The 20,865-nt window shown below is 39.0% G+C and overlaps 1 protein-coding gene across 12 annotated transcripts in view, besides 2 other annotated features; it reads right to left on the bottom strand.

Annotated features, from left to right (window-relative positions):
* GOSR1 (golgi SNAP receptor complex member 1) overlaps nt 1-18,024 on the bottom strand; it is a 50,185-nt gene extending 32,161 nt beyond the window's left edge. For 2 of the 12 annotated variants that reach the window (XM_005258070.6, XM_017025374.3), the window contains exons 1-6: nt 17,439-18,024; nt 14,169-14,289; nt 11,131-11,218; nt 10,662-10,769; nt 5,215-5,306; nt 2,679-2,753 (exon numbers count right to left, since the gene is read on the bottom strand). In XM_005258070.6, the coding sequence (XP_005258127.1) occupies nt 2,679-2,753; nt 5,215-5,306; nt 10,662-10,769; nt 11,131-11,218; nt 14,169-14,289; nt 17,439-17,619 (665 nt within the window). In that variant the 5' untranslated portion in view covers nt 17,620-18,024. The remainder of the gene's footprint in view (nt 1-2,678; nt 2,754-5,214; nt 5,307-10,661; nt 10,770-11,130; nt 11,219-14,168; nt 14,290-17,438) is intronic. The other 10 variants (XM_005258071.6, XM_047437109.1, NM_004871.3 and 7 more) reach the window with 7 other exon arrangements.
* Nucleotides 17,761-17,980: an enhancer, noted in NCBI's record as "active region_11999". NCBI's record gives its function as "activates an Ori minimal core promoter by ATAC-STARR-seq in GM12878 lymphoblastoid cells {active_cell/tissue: GM12878}" and the evidence as "EXISTENCE:reporter gene assay evidence [ECO:0000049][PMID:35858748]".
* Nucleotides 18,131-18,280: an enhancer, noted in NCBI's record as "active region_11998". NCBI's record gives its function as "activates an Ori minimal core promoter by ATAC-STARR-seq in GM12878 lymphoblastoid cells {active_cell/tissue: GM12878}" and the evidence as "EXISTENCE:reporter gene assay evidence [ECO:0000049][PMID:35858748]".

Below are 20,865 nucleotides of genomic sequence, written 5' to 3'. Positions count from 1 at the left end.
AAACCTCTGAAAGTTGTCAACTTCATTAAGGTAAATACAGAAGACGTATTTTATTCAAAATGACAAAATGCTTCTAGAGAAAAAGCATCATATGCCTGGTCAAGTAATGAATGTATGATTCTGGATAAATTATGGCATTTCAATGTTTGAGGTAATATAGTCTGTCTGTCTCTACTCCTTAATTCTCCATCTATAAAGACAGCAAGAATATAATCAGCCATGTCTTTTTTTTTTTTTTTTTTTTGAGCCGGAGTCTCGCTCTGTCACACAGGCTGAAGTGCAGTAGCGTGATCTTGGCTCACTGCAACCTCCGCCTCCCGGGTTCAAGCAATTCTCCTGCCTCAGCCTCCCAAGTAGTTGGGATTACAGGTGCCCACCACCATACCCGGCTAATTTTTGTATTTTTAGTAGAGATGGGTTTTCACCATGTTGGCCAGAAAAAGCCATATATCTTGTATAAAATAAATACAAAGAGAGAAACAATGGGTGACAGAGTGAGACCCTCAAGTCAAAAAAAAAAAAAAGTCTGGGCACATTGCCTCACGCCTGTAATCCCAGCACTTTCAGAGGCTGAGGTGGGTGGATCTCTTGAAGTTAGGAGTTCAAGACCAGCCTGGCCAACAGAGTGAAACCCCATCTCTACTAAAAATACAAAAGTTAGCTGGGTGTAGTGGCAGGTGCCTGTAGTCCCAGCTACCTAGGAGGCTGAGGCAGGAGAACCGCTGGAACCCAGGAGGCAGAGGGCACAGTGAGCTGAGATCACACCGCGACACTCCAGCCTGGGCAACAGAGTGAGACTCTGTCTTAAAGAAAAAAGAAAGAAAAGATTATAAAGGCAGAAATTCTTGGGGTGGGGAGAAGAACTATACAAAATTAACTAGATACTTTTTCAAGAAGAAAAATATCAGGGAGTAGTGAAAAAGAACAATTACATAAAGAAAGAGAAATTATCTAAATAGCAACTAAAAACCCTATGAGAATGTATCAACAGTCCAGCAAAAAACAAGTAGTTACAAGCTTGACACTAATTCAAAGTCAGTATTTTCTTCTGACTGACAGACTCAGGGAAAGAGAAGCCAAAAACGAAAGTTACTTTATCCACCATATAGCAAAAGAAATTTGTCATCCATAACATAAATTGCTAAAACCTAACAGCATTTATTTTTATATAAAAAGAGTATTAAGGAGAGCTGGTAAAAACAATTCATTACAAAGTTGTGTGTGTGTGTGTGTGTGTGTTTAAGTATGGCATTCATTTACAAAAACTGATTTACTCTTTTTCCAGGCAAAAATATGTGCTTTTGGAGCAAGTAAAAAATTACATTAACATTAAAAAACAATATTTATGAAGAAGCAAAAGCTTAAACATAGTTCTAGCCATAAAAGGTCCGACCCTACTGCAAAATATCAAACTTGGAAATTTGCCAATATTATAGAAAAACTTTGCAAATGAGTGTGTTCTTTAATCCTGCAATTCTGATTTAGGAATTTAGAATGAGGAAATCATGACGGATACACACAAAGGCTTTACTGTGTATAATAGTAAAAACAGAACATAACCCAAAAGGCCAACATTAGGGAAATGGTTACATAATTTATGGTTTATCTTTATTATGGAATATATGCACCATTTATTTTAAAAAAACAAAAAATCAAATTATATGGGAAAAAGCTTGCAATCTACTGAAGAGTAAAAAATATTACAGAATTTGTAGTAATGTGTCATTTCAATTTTCTTTTTGTGTTGTTGAACTATCCATACTTTCTAAAATGAGCACTATGAAAGGCATTTAGCTTTTGTTATTTAAAGTTATTTCAAAAAAATCTTGCCACTTCTTCCTCAAAGCACTTGGCAAATGAAATACAAAAACACTGAAAAACTAAAGTTTTTCACATTATTTTGTAAACATATTTTACTGATAATTTTAATGTTATTTTATTACCTAGCAAGTATTTGTAATTACAAAAAAAAATTGATTTAAGAGAAGTATTTAGAAGCTTGTGTTATCATACTGAGGGCAATGACGAAGCCCATCTTTTCAGTCTCTACGACTCATCTAATTCATCAGGAGCTCTTATTCCATTCAGTTTCATCCTGTCTCAGTCTCTCTCTGTAGAGAATTAGCACATGCACTGGCCGGGTGCGGTGGTGGCTCACGCCTGTAATCCCAGCAATTTGGGAGGCCAAGGTGGGTGGATCACGAGGTCAGGAGATGGAGACCATCCTGGCTACATGGCGAAACTCCATCTTTACCAAAAATACAAAAAAATTAGCCAGGCATGGTGGCACACGCCTGTAGTCCCAGCTACTTGGGAGGCTGAGGCAGGAGAATCGCTTGAACCCGGGAGGCAAGCGGCTGCAGTGAGCTGAGATTGAGTCACTGCACTCCAGCCTGGGTGACGGAGCGAGACTCCATCTCAGAGAAAAAAAAAAAAAAATAACAACCATATTAAGGTAACAATTAAGTGATGTGAAATATTCAACAGCATAGGATCTTTCCTAATTATGGTTGGAACAGTTGCAATTCCTTTTCTATTGAAAAGAGTCATTAGGAGAATAAAATGAATTAGCATGGACAAGGCACTCAGTATAATAAACATCATAAAATGTTGGTTACATAAGTAAATGAATTAATAAACGTGGAAAACCACATAATGCACATACATTCAATACCTACTTTCGAAGGTGGTCATGTTCTTTCAAAAATAGCTCAGTTCTTCTGTTGTTTACTCCAGACCCACTTTTATATGACCTGGGACAAAAGAGAAAATTTAAAAACATTTTTGGCAGAGAATACAAAATCAGATTGACTGACCCTAGTGATCTTGAAAGTAGAAAAATTGAGCCTCTCCAGAGTTTTGAATGAACAATGAAAGTACATAATCCTTTGCATTTCCCTCTGAAAAATGTTATCTATTTTAGGTAGATAAATATTAATGCCTCTGCATCTCTAATTTAGGCCCAACAGTTTACTGTTTTTCACCAAAATAACTCAACATTCTGAAACAAACAACCAAAACAATCTTACTTTTCCTTTACCTCCTATCTCTGATATCTTCATTTTTCTCCAAGTAGAAGTAAAACTTAGGACTGATTTAGTACACAGCACACAGGGTGGGAAAGCTGTTGAAATGAAATGTTTTCTTTCACAATAATATATGTGGTCCACCAACTGAAGCCTAAGGAACACTGAAATCAAGCTAAAGATTTGCTCATTTTGGCACACTTAAGGATAACCATTTTGGTCTTCAGTGTATTGAAGTTGACAAAAAAATTACTCTTATCACTACTATCAAAAATTTAATTTTTCTGTTTTCCACTAATAATAAAGTATCAGGAACAATTTTTTTTTTTTGGAGACAGAGTCTTACTTTGTTACCCAGACTGGCATGCAGTGGCACAATGTTGGCTCACTGCAGCCAACATGCTGTTAAAACTGAAATACTGGCTGAAAGGCAGTGCTACAGGAGAAACCACCACCAAGGAAAGCAGAATAATATAACCAAGAACACATTGGACTCAGGAGACTGATGACTTGGATTTAAATCTATACTGAATCATTTCATAGCCACTTCACCTCAGACAAGTGTCTCAATACCTAGTTTTGTAAAATGAGACTGATCATTTCTATCTTAACCAAAAGATTGCTATGAGGCCAAAAAAATATAATACATTAAAAAATACTGTGTAAACTACTACATATACTTTCCTCTAGCACCTAGATTCTAAACTCCTACAGGACCACATTGGTCTTTTCCTTTCTTTTTTTTTTTAGACAGAGTCTTGCTCTGTCACCCAGGCTAGAGTGCAGTGGCACGATCACAGCTCACTGCAACCTCCACATCCCAGGTTAAACCAATTCTCCTGCCTCAGCCTCCCGAGTGGCTGGGATTACAGATGCCTACAACTACGCCCAGCTAATTTTTTTATTTTTAGTAGAGACGGGGTTTCACCATGTTGGCCAGGCTGGTCTTGAACTCCTGGCCCCAAGTGATCCACCTGCCTCAGCCTCCCAAAGTGCTGGGATTACAGGCGGGAGCCACCACGCCTGGCCGGTCTTTTCATTTCTACCTTCTGCTGTGACTAACTCAGAGTTGATACTCAGGAGACAGTTTAATGAATAGATGAACATATCTTTTATGGCCATTTTTCAAAAAGCAAGTTATTACAATGGGTTGCATTCTAGTGATTCCCACAAATTATGGGGGGGCTCAGTGTCTATACATTAAAGACCATCCCCTATATGGGTTCCCAATGCATTCCTCAAAACATATATATAAATGGACTACATGGAAATTAAACAAAAGACTTAAATGTCCTGAAGGACTAAAAATATTACAACAATCTTACTGTTGAAACTGTTACTGTTACAATAAAATAAAGGATCTCTAGGAAAGTGTTTTCGAGAGTACACATAATATACAGTTTACCATAAATGTGTATCATAGTTTATAAAATGTATCACATAATTTATCACAAATGAGATGATGACAGGTATCATTAGATGGCTCCAAATTGGAACATCTTCAGCTTCAATGAGACGCCCATGGGACTTAACTTTGTCAGTAGTGTTCAGTTGTAAAAAAATTTCCAAAAATGCTATGAAATGCTAGAATAGATCATTAAAGGTGAGGTGAAGGGACAGAAGAAAAAAACAAATATTTAAAATTATAGATTGAGATCAGTATGAGAATGTTGGGAGTCCTTAAATAATTTAACATAAGGCTATGAGTGAGTTTGTACATATTACTGTTTGTAATATGTAACTGTTGGGACAAGGGAGAGGGCCAGGGGATAGGTGATAATCAGGAAGAGAAACATAGGGAGCTTCAGTTACTGATAATGTTACAATTAAAGAATTTTTTTTTCTTTGACACATCTGCAGAGGATCATAAAAGTAACATTATAATTCTTAGGGTGGGAGGTAAGAGATCAGAGAACCATGAAGAACCACCTAAGCTGGACTTTGAATTAAGACAGGAAAGTCAAGGTTGGCAGGAGCCAATGATAAAGTAAGAGGAAGCATGAGATAAAAATGGAAAAGTAGATTAGGATGACATTGTAGCAGCAATGTTAAAAAGACAGTGAAATGGGAATTGGAAACCCTAAAATCTCAACCACGGTTCTGCCACTCAATTTGCAATTAACCGTGAACATATCCTAAAGCCAAATCTGAATAAATATTCTACAAAATAATATAAAAAGTAACTTACTCAATATCTTTTCGTACTGATCCCATAAGATTCTCCCTTTCCCGTATTGCCATAAAGTTTGCTTTGGTTTTATGGAATTCATGTGTATAATCCTGTAATAAATCAACATCCAGTCTCAACAGAAGCTAATTATGGATTTTCATCTCACTGAACCAGTTATGTATCGTCATCACACTGTAAATTTGTCAAGAAAACTGCTATTTAAGAAATCAAATTAACCAAAGGTAAAAATAACTTTAAAATTACTTTCCTGAAGAGTGACCAACTTCTTTCAAGTGAAAATAATTCAGTGCTAGGGAAACAGTGCCATTAAATCACTATCCTTTGTACCTCCTAGTACTCTGTCTTACGAGGCAGAATTAAGAAGAAAAAAATTCTGAGATAAAATAACTTCAAATAGTCTAGGAGAAAACTTGAGAGGCTCTTTTTACTTAGTAGTATACTTAATAGAGCTTATTTTCAAATTTCATCATTTTGGAGCTCTCACAAAAAATTTAATTCCTAAACAAAAAAGAACAGAATCAAGAGAATTATAAGGAACAAAATAATCTTTAAACATTTTCTACTATTTTTGTACCACTGTTAAAAGTACTTCATTACTTTTCATAAATTCAGAGATGTAGATAAAGAAGAAAATCAAAATCTTGTCTCCCAGAGTCCCTGTTGACCTTTTAAAAAACAAAAGTAACACATAAACATGGAGGAGAATATTAAAAGAGCACCAAAAGAAATAAAGGTGAAACAAAGGAAAACAAAACATTCTGCTCCATACCTCATAACTGTTACCATCATTTTGTATTTTCTTCCAGGAAATTATTATTTTCTTTTTTTTTGGAGACAAGAGTCTTGCTCTGTCGCTCAGGCTGGAGTATAGTGGTGCCATCTCAGCTCACTGCAAACACCACTTCCTGGGTTCAAGCGATTCTAGTGCCTTGGCCTCCCTAGTACTGGGACTATAGGAGCGTGCCACTACATCCAGCTAATTTTTGTATTTTTAATAGAGATGGAGTTTCACCATGTTGGCCAGGCTGGTCTTGAACTCCTGACCTCAACAGTTCCACCCACACTGGCCTCCCAAAATGCTGGGATTACAGGCGTGAGCCACTGCACCTGGCCAGGAAATATGTTTTTACATATACAAGCTTATCTATTATTTCTTTCACTTTGCCAAGTAAGTCATAATATACATTCTGATGTACACCTTGCTTTTTGTACTTCATAAAGTATCAAGCAATCTTTCCATATTAGGAAAAAGAAATCTACATCATTCTTTTTAATAGCTGCATAGAATATTATCTTATGACTATCACAATTTAATAAATTCCCTACTGATAAACACATTAGTTGTTTTCATTTTGTTTGCTATTAAAAATACTGCAAGACTAGGCAGGGTGGCTCATGCCTGTAATCCCAGCACTTTGGGAGGCTGAGGTGGGCGGATCACTAGAGGTCAGGAGTTCGAGACCAGCTTGGCCAACATGGCGAAACCCCGTCTCTACTAAAAACACAAAACTTAGCCGGTGTGGTGGAACGCACCTGTAGTCCCAGCTACTTTGCTCAGGAGTTTGAGGCAGGAGAATCACTTGAACTTGGGAGGCAGAGGTTACAGTGAGTTGAGATCATACCACAGCACTCCAGCCTAGGCAACAGAGCGAGACTCTGTTTCAAAAAAAAAAAAAAAAAATACTGCCAATAAACATTCTTACATATATTTTTTAAACTGAACTCTTTTATTTTAAAAAAAACTATATTTAGGCTGGGCGCAGTGGCTCACGCCTGTAATCCCAACACTTTGGGAGGCCAAGGCAGGCGGATCATGAGGTCAGGAGATGGAGACCATCCTGGCTAACACGGTGAAACCCCATCTCTACTAAAAATACAAAAAAATAGCCGGGCATGGTGGCGAGCGCCTGGAGTCCCAGCTACTCGGGAGGCTGAGGCAGGAGAATGGTGTGAACCCGGGAGGCAGAGGTTGCAGTGAGCCAAGACCGCGCCACTGCACTCCAGCCTGGGTGACAGAGTGAGACTCTGTCTCAAAAAAAAAAAAAAAAAAGTATATTTAAAGAGTAAATGTCTATTAAGTTCAACAGAGCTTAAAAAAAAAAAAAAGGAGTAAATGACTAGCAATAGAATAATTGGATCAGGGCTGGGTACGGTGGCTCATGCCTGTAATCCCAGCACTTTGGGAGGCCGAGGTGGGTGGATCATGACATCAGGAGTTCAAGACCAGCTTGATCAATATGATGAAACCCCATCTCTACTAAAAATACAAAAATTAGCTGGGCGTGGTGGCGCACACCTGTAGTTCCTGCTACTCGGGAGGCCGAGGCAGAAGAATCGCTTGAACCCAGGACGTGGAGGCTGCAGTGAGCCGAGATCGCACCATTGCACTCCAATACTCCAGCCTGGACAACAGAGCGAGACTCCGTCTCAAGAAAAAAAAAAAAGAATAACTGGATCAAAGAATCTCACATTCATTTAAATTCTGGTAGTGCTAAACTGCCTTCTATAAACATTACATCAATTTATGTTCCCACCAGCAATATATGAGTACCCTTTTTAAATTTTTACTCTTGCCAATAATGGGTTATAAATGTTTCAACATTTGCTAATCTGACATGTGAAAAATCACCTCTTTTAGATTTCTGTATTTTTATTTGGAAATACTGCTGAAAATGTTTTTATAGTTTTGGCCATTCATTTTTTTGTAAGCAATTTTATATCCTTTGTCCATTTTCCTACTGTCTTTTTCTTATTTCTATTATATCTCTGTGTAGTAAGCAAATTAGCCATTCGTTATGGTTTCCAGTATCAAGTCTTATTTAGAAAGTCCTTTCTGCTCCAAAGTTTACAAATTTCACCTCTGCTTTATGGTTTCTTTTTCTATCCTTCTTGGATCCATTTGGAATTTGTTCTGGATGTGAGGATTGAGATAGAATTGTTTTTTTAAAATCTCTGAATAATTAAGCAATGGTTATAGTTCCATTTATTTTATAATTTCTCTTTGCCCCACTGATTTTAAACAACATCTTTATCAGAAACTAAAAATTTCCAAACATAATTGGGTCTACATATAAACTCTGTTTAATTGTTTTTATTTATTTATTTTTTTTCTCTAGTATCAAACTGTCTTAACTATTCCAGCTTTTTAACAGGTTTTAAGATCTGGTAGAACTAGGAACCCTCTACCACTTATCTTCATTTTCAGGTTGTTTTTCTTGGTTGTTCTTGTATGTCTATGATTCCAAATGAACTTTGGTGTCATTATGTCATTTGTTTTTAATTAAACAAACAACGATACAACCCTGCTGTTTCCACTGGGATGTCATGCAATTTAGACGAAAGTCTTCCTATCCAAAAACAGAATGATTCTTTCCTTTACTTAAATCTTGTTCTATGTCCCTCAGTAGAATTCTGCACATACAAGTCCTACACATTTCTTATTTAATTCATATATAAATGCTTTATAGTTTCTTCCATTGTATTTTCTAACAGGTTATCATTTATTTCCTATCATAATAGGAAAACTATTTGCTTTTATGTATTCATTTTGTGATCTACCATCTTACTGAATTTAATTGTTTCTAACTTTTTATCAGGTAATTTTCTTGCGTGTACTAGACATATAATTTTATCCTGCTACCTCACAGAAATTTTGCCTCTTCCTTTCCAATATTTACATCTTTTTTTTTTTTTTTGAAACAGTCACTCTGTTGCCCAGGCTGGAGTGCAGTGGTGCAATCTCGGCTCACTGCAACCTCCACCTCCCAGGTTCAATGTTCAAGCTATTCTCCTGCCTCAGCCTCCCAAGTAGCTGGGATAACAGGCACCCACCACCACGCCCCGCTAATTTTTGTATTTTTAGTAGAGAAGGGGTTTCACCCTGCTGGCCAGGCTGGTCTCCAACTCCTGACCTCAAATGATCCGCCCACCTCAGACCTCCAAAGTGCTTGGATAAGAGGTGTGAGCCACCATGCCCAGCATACATTTCATTTCTTTTTACTGTCTAATTGCACCATCAAGAACTTAAAAAACAACGTTATACATTTGTAGCGATCATGGGTATCCTTGTCTTGTTTCATACAATGGGAATGTTTTTATTGCTTTCTCTTTAAACACAATGCTAGCTTTTAACCCGATAATACATTTTTGTATTAAAGTATCTTTCTATTCCTACTTTTTTTTTTTTTTTTTTTTTAGATGGAGTCTCAGTCTTGTAGCCTAGGCTGGAGTGCAGTGGTGCAATCTCAGCTCACTGCAACCTCCGCCTCCTGGGTTCAAGCTTCTCCTGCCTCAGCCTCACAAGTAGCTGGGATTACAGGCGCCCACCACTATGCCCAGCTTATTTTTATACTTTTAGTAGAGACAGGGTTTCGCCATGTTGGCCAGGCTGGTCTCCAACTCCTGACCTCAGGTGATCCACCTGCCTTGGCCTCCCAAAGTGCTGGGATTACAGGCACGAGCCACTGCGCCCGGCCATCTATTCCTACTTTTAAAAACAGTTTTTAAAATTAGAAATAGTTGCTGACTTTTCTCAATATTAAAAATATTTGTGGCTGGGTACAGCGGCTCATGCCTATAATTCTAGCACTTTGGAAGGCTGAGGGGGTGGATTGCCCATACACAGGAGTTAAGAGAACAGCCTGGGCAACATAGCAAAAACCTGTGAACACAGGAGTTAAGAGACCAGCCTGGGCAATATAGCAAAACCTCGTGAACACAGGAGTTAGAGACCAGCCTGGGAAACATGGCAAGGACCTGTCTCTGCAAAAGCTTTTAAAAAATTAGCCAGGCGTGGTGGCATGTGCTTGTGGTCCCAGATGCTCAGGACGCTGAGGTAGGAGGCTTGTTTGAGCTTGGGAGGTTGAGGCTGCAGTGAGCTGTGACTGTACTACTGCACTCCAGCCTGAGTGACAGAGAAACCCTATCTCAAAAAAAAAAAAAAAATTGCCTTCCTATTTGTACTACCATATTTTTAACATATCCTCCATTTAAATCTTTAAAAGTTTATTTAGTTTTATTGGTGCATACACATTTACTGTTTTCTTAAACAATATACTAAGTATAGTAAATAATTCCCCCTCCATATTATCTTCAAAGCTAGCTGAAAGTACACGCTTACCCACCACGTTATTGTCTATACATGACCATTGGCTATTTCACTGTTACAGCTAGCTAGCTAGGTCTCCCATAGTGGAAGTATATGTACCCAGTGATGAATATTACTCAACTTCGCCAAGAAATAGCAAGAGCTATTAGATATTTTCAGAATTTTATAATGGTGACCCCAAAAAAAAGTAAAACAAGTCCCTTTAGCATGGCATTTATTTTCTCAGATTTTTCTCTTTGTCCTTTTAAATATATGTGCACATATCCAATGCAGGGATTAAAAAAAAAAAAACCCAAACTCCTGTGATAATGAAAACATCTCGAGCCCAATATATTACCTGCAATATGTCTCTATGCCGCTGTAATGTATGCATCAGGGCTGCATTCAAGGAGGGGACACCTGCACTGTTGGTATATTCTGCCATTTTATCATTTACCCCTGTAAGCTAGAAATAAAGAAAAAAAAAACAATCAAAATATTTTACTAAGCACTATAAACAGCTAAAAGCAAATTATTTGCCTATATGCCCTTTTGGTTGACAGCAAAACAAAACAAAACAAAACAAAACAAAAAACAAACAAGAGAGCAAGTAAGAATTCAGCATTCCCCCACATAATCCATAAAGACCAAAATAACATCATATCACCTGAGAATGGCTGTCATCAAAATTCAAGTGGTGTGGGGAGGTACACATATTGAATGGAATGGATAATTTCAATAAACATGTCTGTCTCAATATAATCCAGGATCCTACGTAACAAGTATACAGTTATTTGCAAAATAGCCATTTAACAGAAAGCACTTACCCTTGCCAAAAGTTGTTCAATCTCAATCGCCATTGTCTCAAACATTCTGTCTTGGCTTGATCCATTTAAAAGGGGTGTTGTATCAGAACTAAAAAGAAGTTCAGTTAAAGAGGATCCATTACTCAAATCAGTCCTTTAAAACATACTTAAAATAATAAGGTGATTAATAGGAGCCATAAAATGAATTATGGATTATGTTATATAGGGTCTGTGAGAAACGATCTTTTACATTTTTACCCCAAAGGAATTATGGTTCCTTCAACCTCAACATTACATTCTCTCTTCTTTCCTTGACTCTTACCAAGAGGAAATAAGATTGAGGTTTAAATGATCCACAGATTGGATAACTAGCTAACGAATACTCAGGAACTGGCTTTAAATCCAATATATACAGCCATGTCCTGCATGCTTTGGTACTAATCTTCTCCATTTTCACTTACAGTATGCAATCATCCTTTTGTTTTGTAGAATTGTGTTAAATTGCCTTTTCAAATCTGAATAGTCAAAAATCTATCTTTTTACAAGTGAAACTTAGGTTTGACAGATTCAAATTCTAAACCCACCTGTCCTCAGTGTTTCTTTTGCCTTTTCCAAAACACCACTAACCTTCATCAGGTTAGGTATGTATTAGCATCTGATGAGCAGCTCAATACAGATCAGAGTTATACTGGACACAGATAAATGCCCAGGCAATGACTATAGTCTCCAATCTTACTGAAGACTTTGTGCTACCCTGTGACAGTGCCTGGGTGTGGCAAATGAAAAGTATTAAATAAATGCTCTGTAGACTACTAATATAAATCCTCCTCTACCAGATATATGAAAAAGAACAATATGCCAATAGAATTAAAGCTTCATGAAGGAAGGAAAAAACTGCTCTGTCTTATTCATAGATATATGCCTAGCACCTAGTATACAGCCTGGCACATAGTAGATGCTCATTAAACTTCTGCTGAATAAATGAATGAACACGAGAGCAATCTCTACTACTGGTTATTCTATACTCATTGTATTCATATATTCATCAGGACAGTGTAAGAGTAAAGGGAAATGGCCAAACACTAATTCTTCACAATACTGGGATTCAGTTAAATTTAATTCATCTTATAGGTGGGTAATGATTCATAGACCTTGAAGTTCTCAAAATACAGAAAGTTAAAAAAAAAAAAAAAAAGAAAGAAAGATGCCTGGAATAAATAATATTCTAGTTATTGCTTAGTTGACTCATAGTGACATGCTTCCAACCTGGGCATCAAACAAGACACTTTAGAATAGACATCAAATCCTGATCCTCATGGCCTTAGGTTTTTATTTAGAAGGGGAGTTAGGCTGAAGTAATTCTACAAAGCCAGTTTCAGTTTGTGGTAGAATTTCTTGGGAAATGTTTTCAAGATAGTTTTTCCTTTAGAGGAATAACAAAAGTATTAGTTCATGAAGCACACAGAACATAGAAAATGCATAGAAAGAACATTCTTCATTCTCTTTACTTGCTAAATAAAGCCAAGCCCAAAGCAATGCAATCTATTTGATGTGTTAGTAATTTATTTTTAGATCCTAGAGTCAATGTTGGCCTTGCTGCCTTTACAACCAAGGAGTCCTTATGAAAAAGAAATAGTAATTTGGCTATAGTGTTGAAATCAGCTTTTTGTTCAAATGTATACACTATAGTAGGGTTTAGAGTGTGGGCTCTGGAGATAGATCTAGATTCAAATCTAAGCTCAGATTTCATTGTTTTTATTAGCTGACAAATATCCTACTCACTTCTAATCTTTGAAAAAGTATGTAAAATAAGTGTGGATTAACAACAACTCTGCTACCAGCAATTTCACCGCTAGGTATATAGAAACATTCTGCGTAAAAATGTTCCCAGCAGCATTTATAGAAAGCTCTTACCTAACATATAATGAACACTCTTATGTCAGCTATCAAAATTATTATTAATTAGCAAAAATTAGAAACAATGGCCATCATCAAATGGTTAAACTGTGATAGTCATAAAATACTACATATGAATTACAAATGAATATACCAGAGTTAAATGAATCCATAGCTGAATCTCAAAAATGTTAAAGAAAAAGTTGTAGAATAACTATATTATATATATACTATATAACATAATAGAATACTATGAATTGCTCAGGAATATAAACATGCAGTAAGAATATATGTGGATTATGGGGTGGGAGAAAGTGGGGTGCCATAAGGGGCTTCAGTGGAATGAGTAATTATCATTTTTTAAAAATGGGAGATAGGGTCATGGGGGTTCATGATATTATTCTTTGTAACTGTCTTAAATATTGCCTAATTAAAAAATTTTTTTTTATTTCTATTTTTTTTAGAGACAGGGTTTCACCATGTTGCCCAGGCTAGTCTTGAACTCCTGGGCTCAAGTGATCCATCCGCCTCAACCTCCTAAAGTCCCGGGATTACACGCGTCATCTACTGTGCCTGGCTACTCCCAATATTTTCTTGAAACAAGTGGATGACTTACAGAGAGCATAAGCTTCAAAGATAAGAATGTATTTTCCATACATTTAATATGGTAATACACTAGTTTCCCAAAAAAGTACCAAAATTAAAGATAGCTTTGATAATTAATAACAAGGATACACAGTGCATTAGATACCCTCTAATACAATAAACACCAGAAAAGCAGTATGTATACCTGGCACCTGGGTAGATCCACAGGTCCATTTAGCAATTGAAAAACACAAGAAATACATGCCACACGGGCAAATCAGCCACCTTTTCCCTACACTGGCTGAATTAGACACTTATATTTTTGATACAAACTTATTCTGAAGTTCTAGCAGGTTTCTTCTGACACTGTAACAATCTTTGCCTAAGGATTCCAAATAAATGCTAGTCTCGAGAATTCAGAAGAATTTTAATAAGTCACTAAAAAATAAAACAATGAATGGCAAAACAAAACACCAAAAATTCACCAATAGACCAACTTACAGAAGTTATATATTTTAGTTTATTTTTTAATGCTTTAAAAACACAGTTAAGGCATAGGAGACAGAATCTGGTAGTACCTATACCTGTCGCGTCTTCCATCTCGGGTACTGCTATGACTGTAACTTGTACATAGTTTGCTGAAGGAAACTAGTTTCAGGTCAAGTTCATTTTCCAGCTGTCGAGCCTGTTTCCTGAGATCTTTAACAAAATTATAACAACAAATAATTAGACATAAAAAGTAGACACAAAAATCACAGCACCATTCTAAAGAAAACAAACTATGAAAATGATCATATACTGATCTTGTTACCCCCATAAAGAAAAGTGTTGGCTGGGCACGGTGGTGCACGCCTGTAATCCCACCACTTTGGGAGGCCAAGGTGGGCGGATCACCTGAGGTCGGGAGTTTGAGACCAGCCTGATCAACATGGAGAAACCCTATCTCTACTAAAAATAGAAAATTAGCCAGGTGTGGTGGCGCACGCCTGTAATCCCAGCTACTCGGAAGGCTGAGGCAGGAGAATCGCTTGAACGCAGGAGGCAGAGGTTGCGGTGAGCCAAGATTGCGCCATCGTACTCCAGCCTGGGTAACAAGAACAAAACTATGTCTCAAAAAAAGGAAAATAAAAGTCTTAAAAGAAGGAAACCAAGGACTTGCCCAGCAAAGCAGATTAGTCACTTATAAACTTCAGAGGGGGCAAGAAGGGAAATAGTAATGGTAGATGCAACTTCGCAGCTTTACTCCAAAGATGGCTAGAAAACAAATGTTGTTCTATCCTTCCTGAAACTATTTGTATAGCAATAACTAAAATTCTGCAATTCAGAGAAAAACAAGAAGATAATACAAATCACAAAGGAACTAAAAATATGGTTTATGACCAGCATTATCAACTTACCAGTTAATGTTATAAGAAAGAAGCCATTATTCTTTTGAAAGGGATTTTGCTTTTTATGTTCCAAAGCTTTATTAGGCTTATGAACTTCTTTTCATAATAGCAAAATGACTTACCTTTTTTTTTCTTTTTTTTTTTGAGATGGAGTCTCGTTCTGTCACCCAGGCTGGAGTGCAGTGGCATGACCTTGGCTCACTGCATACTCCACCTCCTGGGTTCAAGCAACTCTCATGCCTCAACTACCTCCCAAGTAGCTGGGACTACAGGCACACACCACCATGCCTGGCTAATTTTTGTATTTTTAGTAAAGACGGGGTTTCACCATGTTGGCCAGGGTGGTCTTTAACTCCTGACCTCAAGTGATCCACCCACCTTGGCCTCCCAAAGTGCTAGGATTACAGGTGTGAGCCACCACGCCCGGACCAAAATGACTTCTCAATTGAACATAAAGAAAAAAAGTTACCACAAAAATTGCCTTTTTCTTTCTTTTTTTCTTTTCTGTTTTTTCTCACAATGTTGCCCAGGCTGCTCTCGAACTCCTAAACTCCAGTGACCCTCCTGCCTGGGCCTCCAAAAGTGCTAGAATTACAGGCATGAGACATCGCACCTGGCCAAAAACCGCCTTTAAAAAACTTACTGAGGCCAGGCGCAGTGGCTCACGCCTGTAATCCCAGCACTTTGGGAGGCCGAGGCAGGCGGATCATGAGGTCAGGAGATCAAGACCATCCTAGCTAACACGGTGAAACCCTGTCTCTATTAAAAATACAAAAAATTAGCCAGGCGTGGTGGTGGGCGCCTGTAGTCCCAGCTACTCAGGAGGCTGAGGCAGGAGAATGGCGTGAACCTGGAAGGCACTGGAAGGCAGAGTTTGCAGTGAGTGGAGATTGAGCCACTGCACTCCAGCCTGGGCGACAGTGCGAGACTCCATCTAAAAAAAAGAAAAAAACTTACTGAAAGTAATTTGGAGGGCTAAAACTAACAATAAACAATGTGCTACTAACAAGGTCGAATATGAGTATGATAGAAATAAGTACATAAGTTTTAATAGCAGAAGCAAACAGGCAAGTAGAGAAATTGGTTTAGCAGTCTGGCATCTAAGGGTTGCGTGACAGAAGCCACAGTCTGGACACCCACACACAGATACGAGTATTCTCATTCATGGTGAAGTGAAGGTTAAAATAAAAGGGCAGAAGTACCAGAGGTAATGGTATAAGAATCTCTCTTTCAAAAAGAATACAAAACATTATTTCAATATGCTTTTCAACCAGAAATAGAAAGCGTAGTTAACATAGTGGAGCATATTTGCCCAGAGACCAAATGCCAGTTCGAATCTCGGCACAGCCACTTACTGACTCTATGATTTATCAACAATCTACTTAACCTATGAACTTCAGCTTCTTGTTTTTTAAACCCCTACCTTCAGGGTTTGCTTATGTATTGGTAATCATATGCTTACAGCAGCTGGCACAGAGTAGGTTGTCAGTAATGAGCCGCTGTAATATTATAGCATGCTGCTTCAAAAAACCACAGGCTAATGACTAGTAATAAAGATATCAGTAGCCTCTTCTACATAATTTTAAAATGTTTTCTAGCGGCCAGGCGCGGTGGGTCACACCTGTAATCCCAGCACTTTGGGAGGCAGAGGCGGGCGGATCACGAGGTCAGGAGATCAAGAACATCCTGGCCAACATGGTGAAACCCCGTCTCTACTAAAAATACAAAAATTAGCCAGGCGTGGTGGCATGCATCTGTAGTCCCAGCTACTAAGGAGGCTGAGACAGGAGAATCGCTTGAACGCAGGAGGCGGAGGCTGCAGTGAGCCGAGATCGATAGCGCCACCGCACTCCAGCCTGGGCGACATAGCGAGTCTCCAAAAAAAAAAAAAAAAAAGTTTTCTAGCTGGTACACACATTTCAAATGGGCATTGTAATACATGTTTTAAACTATAAGCACGCTTTTCTGTGATTGGAATAATTGTCTTCTCTAGTAGGAAACATAAGTAAAAGCATTTTGAAAGTATGATAGGCAAATCTGGATAAATTTAGAATTGAGTTTCTTAGACCAAGGGGCTGATAGTGACAATACTGTGGTTTCTAGAGGCTTCAGTGTATAGCAATAAAAACAGGTCAAAGGAATTTGGAAAGTAGTTTCTATGCGGCTGTAAAGCAAAGAGACAGTTGGGAGAAAAAGGTGAGCTTTCTCTGCTCTTGTTGATCATCATAATCCACGAATGAGTTTTATGTAAGCTCACTTTATCCGACTATAGTTTCAGGAATTAAACAAATGCATTTGTCAAATCACAGGAAGGTTTTTTTGGTGGGAGAAGTATAGCAAATGTAACTGCAATTCACACAGGTTCTCTCAACTTTTTCAATAAAACCGATTCTAGACTCTAGAGCAGAAGGGTAAGTTATTTTCTCCTCCTTCAAACACCCAGTCCTGGAAGTCCCCAACCTGTAGTTGTCATGGAGACCCAATAAGAGACATTCTGTCTCCTATTCTCTTCATACTTCCTCCGACGGACCGGAATGCAAGTTCCTCCTTCTCTTTTCCCACTCAGTTTTCCAATAGTGACCTCAGCTCCAATGCGCTGACTCCTCCAGTCTCCGGGGCTCTGGATCTTCTCCCTCAACATTCGTTTCCTCTCAGAGTTCGTACCCCAAGCCCCTTCGTCCGAGTTCCATTACTCCCTCAACACAATTCTACCCAGGCGATTGAGAGCCCTCTTCCTCTACATCCCCGCTCTGTCCACTCTGCCCAACCCCTGCCCCACGTCCCGCTCACACGCCCCGGCCAGGCCAGACCCCTACCCCAGACCGTTCGGTATCCCCAAGGCCCCGGGGATCCCACTTAGGCAAGCCCCGCTGCTCAGCTCGGCCGCTCCGGGAGTCTGGTTCTTTCCTGTGCTGCTTCTCCCAAGATCTGTCCTCACTCAGCCCCTCTCACCCTCGTAGGACGCACCCGGAGGCCTTCTCGCCCTCACCTTCCCAGTAACTGCTGGTCCCTGCCGCCATCTTTGTCGTCCAACGTCAGCCGGGATAGGGGAGCAGAGGCGATGCAGGCCGGAAAGTCACCATGGTGCGTGTTTCCGCCTTGAGAGCCAGGGCCGACGGGATGCGAGCCTCCGCGGACACTGCCACCTGCTGATCAATTCGTTATCTTACAGCTTTTAAGTAGCGAGAGAGAAAAAACTTCGGCTTTAGCTCCTGTCTTTCATTCCCGCTTTCTGCGCCCCAAACCATCATCATCTCCCTCATCTCGGCTTATCCTTTCTCTCAGCAGGTGCCTACTTGACTGGGAGGAGAATCATCCTCAGGCAACTCCCTCAATTTCCCTCACCTTGTCTCTAATTTGTATCTTCAGCCAATTTCTTCCTTTCTCAGACATAGAGACCCTTTCTTCCCAGAGCCATTTCCTTCATCCTACCTCCCCGCCTGTGCTCCATCATCCACGTTCTTTGGCGTATGCGCTCTTCTCCACTGGCTGCTTTCCTTGTCTACAGCAGTTCTAGTCCCAGCCCTCTTTGTCCTTGTCAGCCGCCACATCTAGAAAGAGTGAGCTAACTGCTTCTACATGCTCTCGGCCTGAGCCCTCAACCTGATAAAATCTGCTGTCCAAACCCACACTTTATAGATACATAAATTATCACAGTCTACCGGTGCTGACTTAATTCTAGTGAAGTGTAGAAACCTTAATTCCTGTAAAGTTCTTTCCCCCACTCATTTATAATATAGTTGTTTTTAAGTATTTCCTCTGCATTCATTGAGGAGAACCACATCAGTGTTACAATATTTGCTTCAAGGGTCAGGCATAAGTTAGAGAATTCAAGAGAAGAGGAAAGCTTACTTGATTTATGCATATTTTACTCTTCTTCGTTCCTAGTGTCCCAAGATTCCTTTTTCTAATCGTTTCCTTTCTGTTTCAAGAATTTCCCTCAGCCATTTTTTTTTTAAAGAGTAGATCAGCTGGTGACAAATTCTATTAGTTTTTCTTCATCTGAGAATGTCTTGATTTCCCTTCATTCTTGGGGGATCGGATATTGTTGCCAGATATACAATCTGAAGTTGACAATTTCTTTCTTCAGCACTTGAAAAATGTGCCAATTCCTTCTGGCCTCCATAGTTTCAGATAAGAAATTGACTAAAATTGGAATTGTTTTTCCACTGTAGCTAAAATACATTTTCTCTCTCACTGCTTTCAAGAACTGTTCTTTAGTTTTCAGAAGTTATGATGTGCCTTGGTGTAGATTTCTTTGGATTTATCCTGTTTGGGATATCCTCAGCTTCTTGATTCTGACATTTATGTCTTCTGCCAAATTTGGGGGATTCTCAACCATTGTTTCTTCCAATACTTTTTCTGTCTCATACTGTTTCTCTTCTTTTTCTGGGAGTCTGATGACGTGAATGCTAGATCTTGTGTTAATGTCCCACATAGCTCTGAAGTTATGCTAATTTTTTTTCAGTCTATTTTCCATCATTCGGATTTGGTACTATCTACTATTCTGTCTTCAGATTTGCTGACAGAAAGTATGTCTTTCCTCTGTTCCCTCCATTCTGCTGTTGAGCCTATTCGTTGAGTTCATGTCAATTATTGCATTTTTCGTATCTAAAACTTCTGTTCAGTTCCTCATTATATCTTCTGTTTCTTTGCTGAGACTCGTTTTATCATTTGTTCTAAGTTTGTTTGTAATTGCTCACTAAAGTATTTTTATTAGAGCTGCTTTAAAGTCCTCATCAGATAATTCCAACATCTGTGTCATCTTGATGTTGGGGTCTGTTGTCTTTTTTTCACTCAAGTCGAAGTTCTCTGGGCTATTGGAATGACAATTTTTATAAATTGTATCCTGATGTTTCAGGTATTTGTTATGAGATTCTGATCTTATTTATGTCTTCTGTTTAAGCAGACTTCCTCTGACACTATGCTGCTGGGGGACATAGGGAAATGCTTGCTACTTCCAGGTGGCAGTGGAAGTTCAGGCTCTCCCTTGGCCTTCACTGATTCCCCAGGGAGGGGGTGCCTTGTTACTGCTCCGCATGTGGTCCCCACTGCCACCATGGCAGGGAGCCTCATTGCTGCTGTGCAATGGACGAGAAGTCCAAGTGGGGGATGGGTGGAGTGCTTCATTAGAGCCAGGTGAGTGTGGAAGCCTAGCCTCCTCACTCAGCCTTTGATGGCAAGGAGTGAAGATGGGCCTCAGTTTTTTCTGTGGCATTTGTCCAGAGTGGTGAAATTATTGTCCAAAAGTATTCTGTCTTGTTAGGATACCTGTTTCCTCATCCCTTGTCTGGAGAGAGAAGGCTTTCCATTTTCCTTTGGACTTTTCTTGTCTGCACCCTTTGGCATTTCTAGGTTGCCAGTTTCTCCAGCACCCAGTATAGGACATAGGAAACAAAAAGGAAACCCAGGGAACTCACCTTCATGTTCTTTACATTCTGAGGTCCTTAGCTGGTCTGCCTTCTTCTTTCCACCTTTTTGAGTCTTTTTAAAAATATATATATATGATTTTTTTTTTTTTTGCTGTGCTTAGTGGGAAAAATAGAAAGAAATACAGCTAATCCATTTTGTCCAGAAGTGAAATTGTTGATTTAATTTTTAAATGTTTTAATTATCGGGCTGGATGTAGTGGTTCATGCCTCTAATCCCAGCACTTTGGGAGGCTGAGGTGGTAGGATTGCTTGAGTCCAGGAGTTTGAGGCCAGCCTGGGCAACATAGTAGGACCTCATCTCTACAAAAAATTTAAACATTAGCCAGGCGTGGTGATGCGCCCTATAGTCCCGCTACTCAAGAGGCTGAAGTGGGAGGATTGCTTGAGCCCTGGAGGTCAAGGCTGCAGTGAGCCATCACCACACCACTGCACTCCAGCCTGGGTGACAGAGTAAG

This window comes from Homo sapiens, chromosome 17, assembly GCF_000001405.40.
Source record: "Homo sapiens chromosome 17, GRCh38.p14 Primary Assembly".
In the NCBI taxonomy this organism is placed as follows: Eukaryota; Metazoa; Chordata; class Mammalia; order Primates; family Hominidae; genus Homo; species Homo sapiens.
The sequence above is the reverse complement of the archived record's forward strand: the minus strand, read 5'-3'. Positions and strand labels throughout refer to the sequence as shown.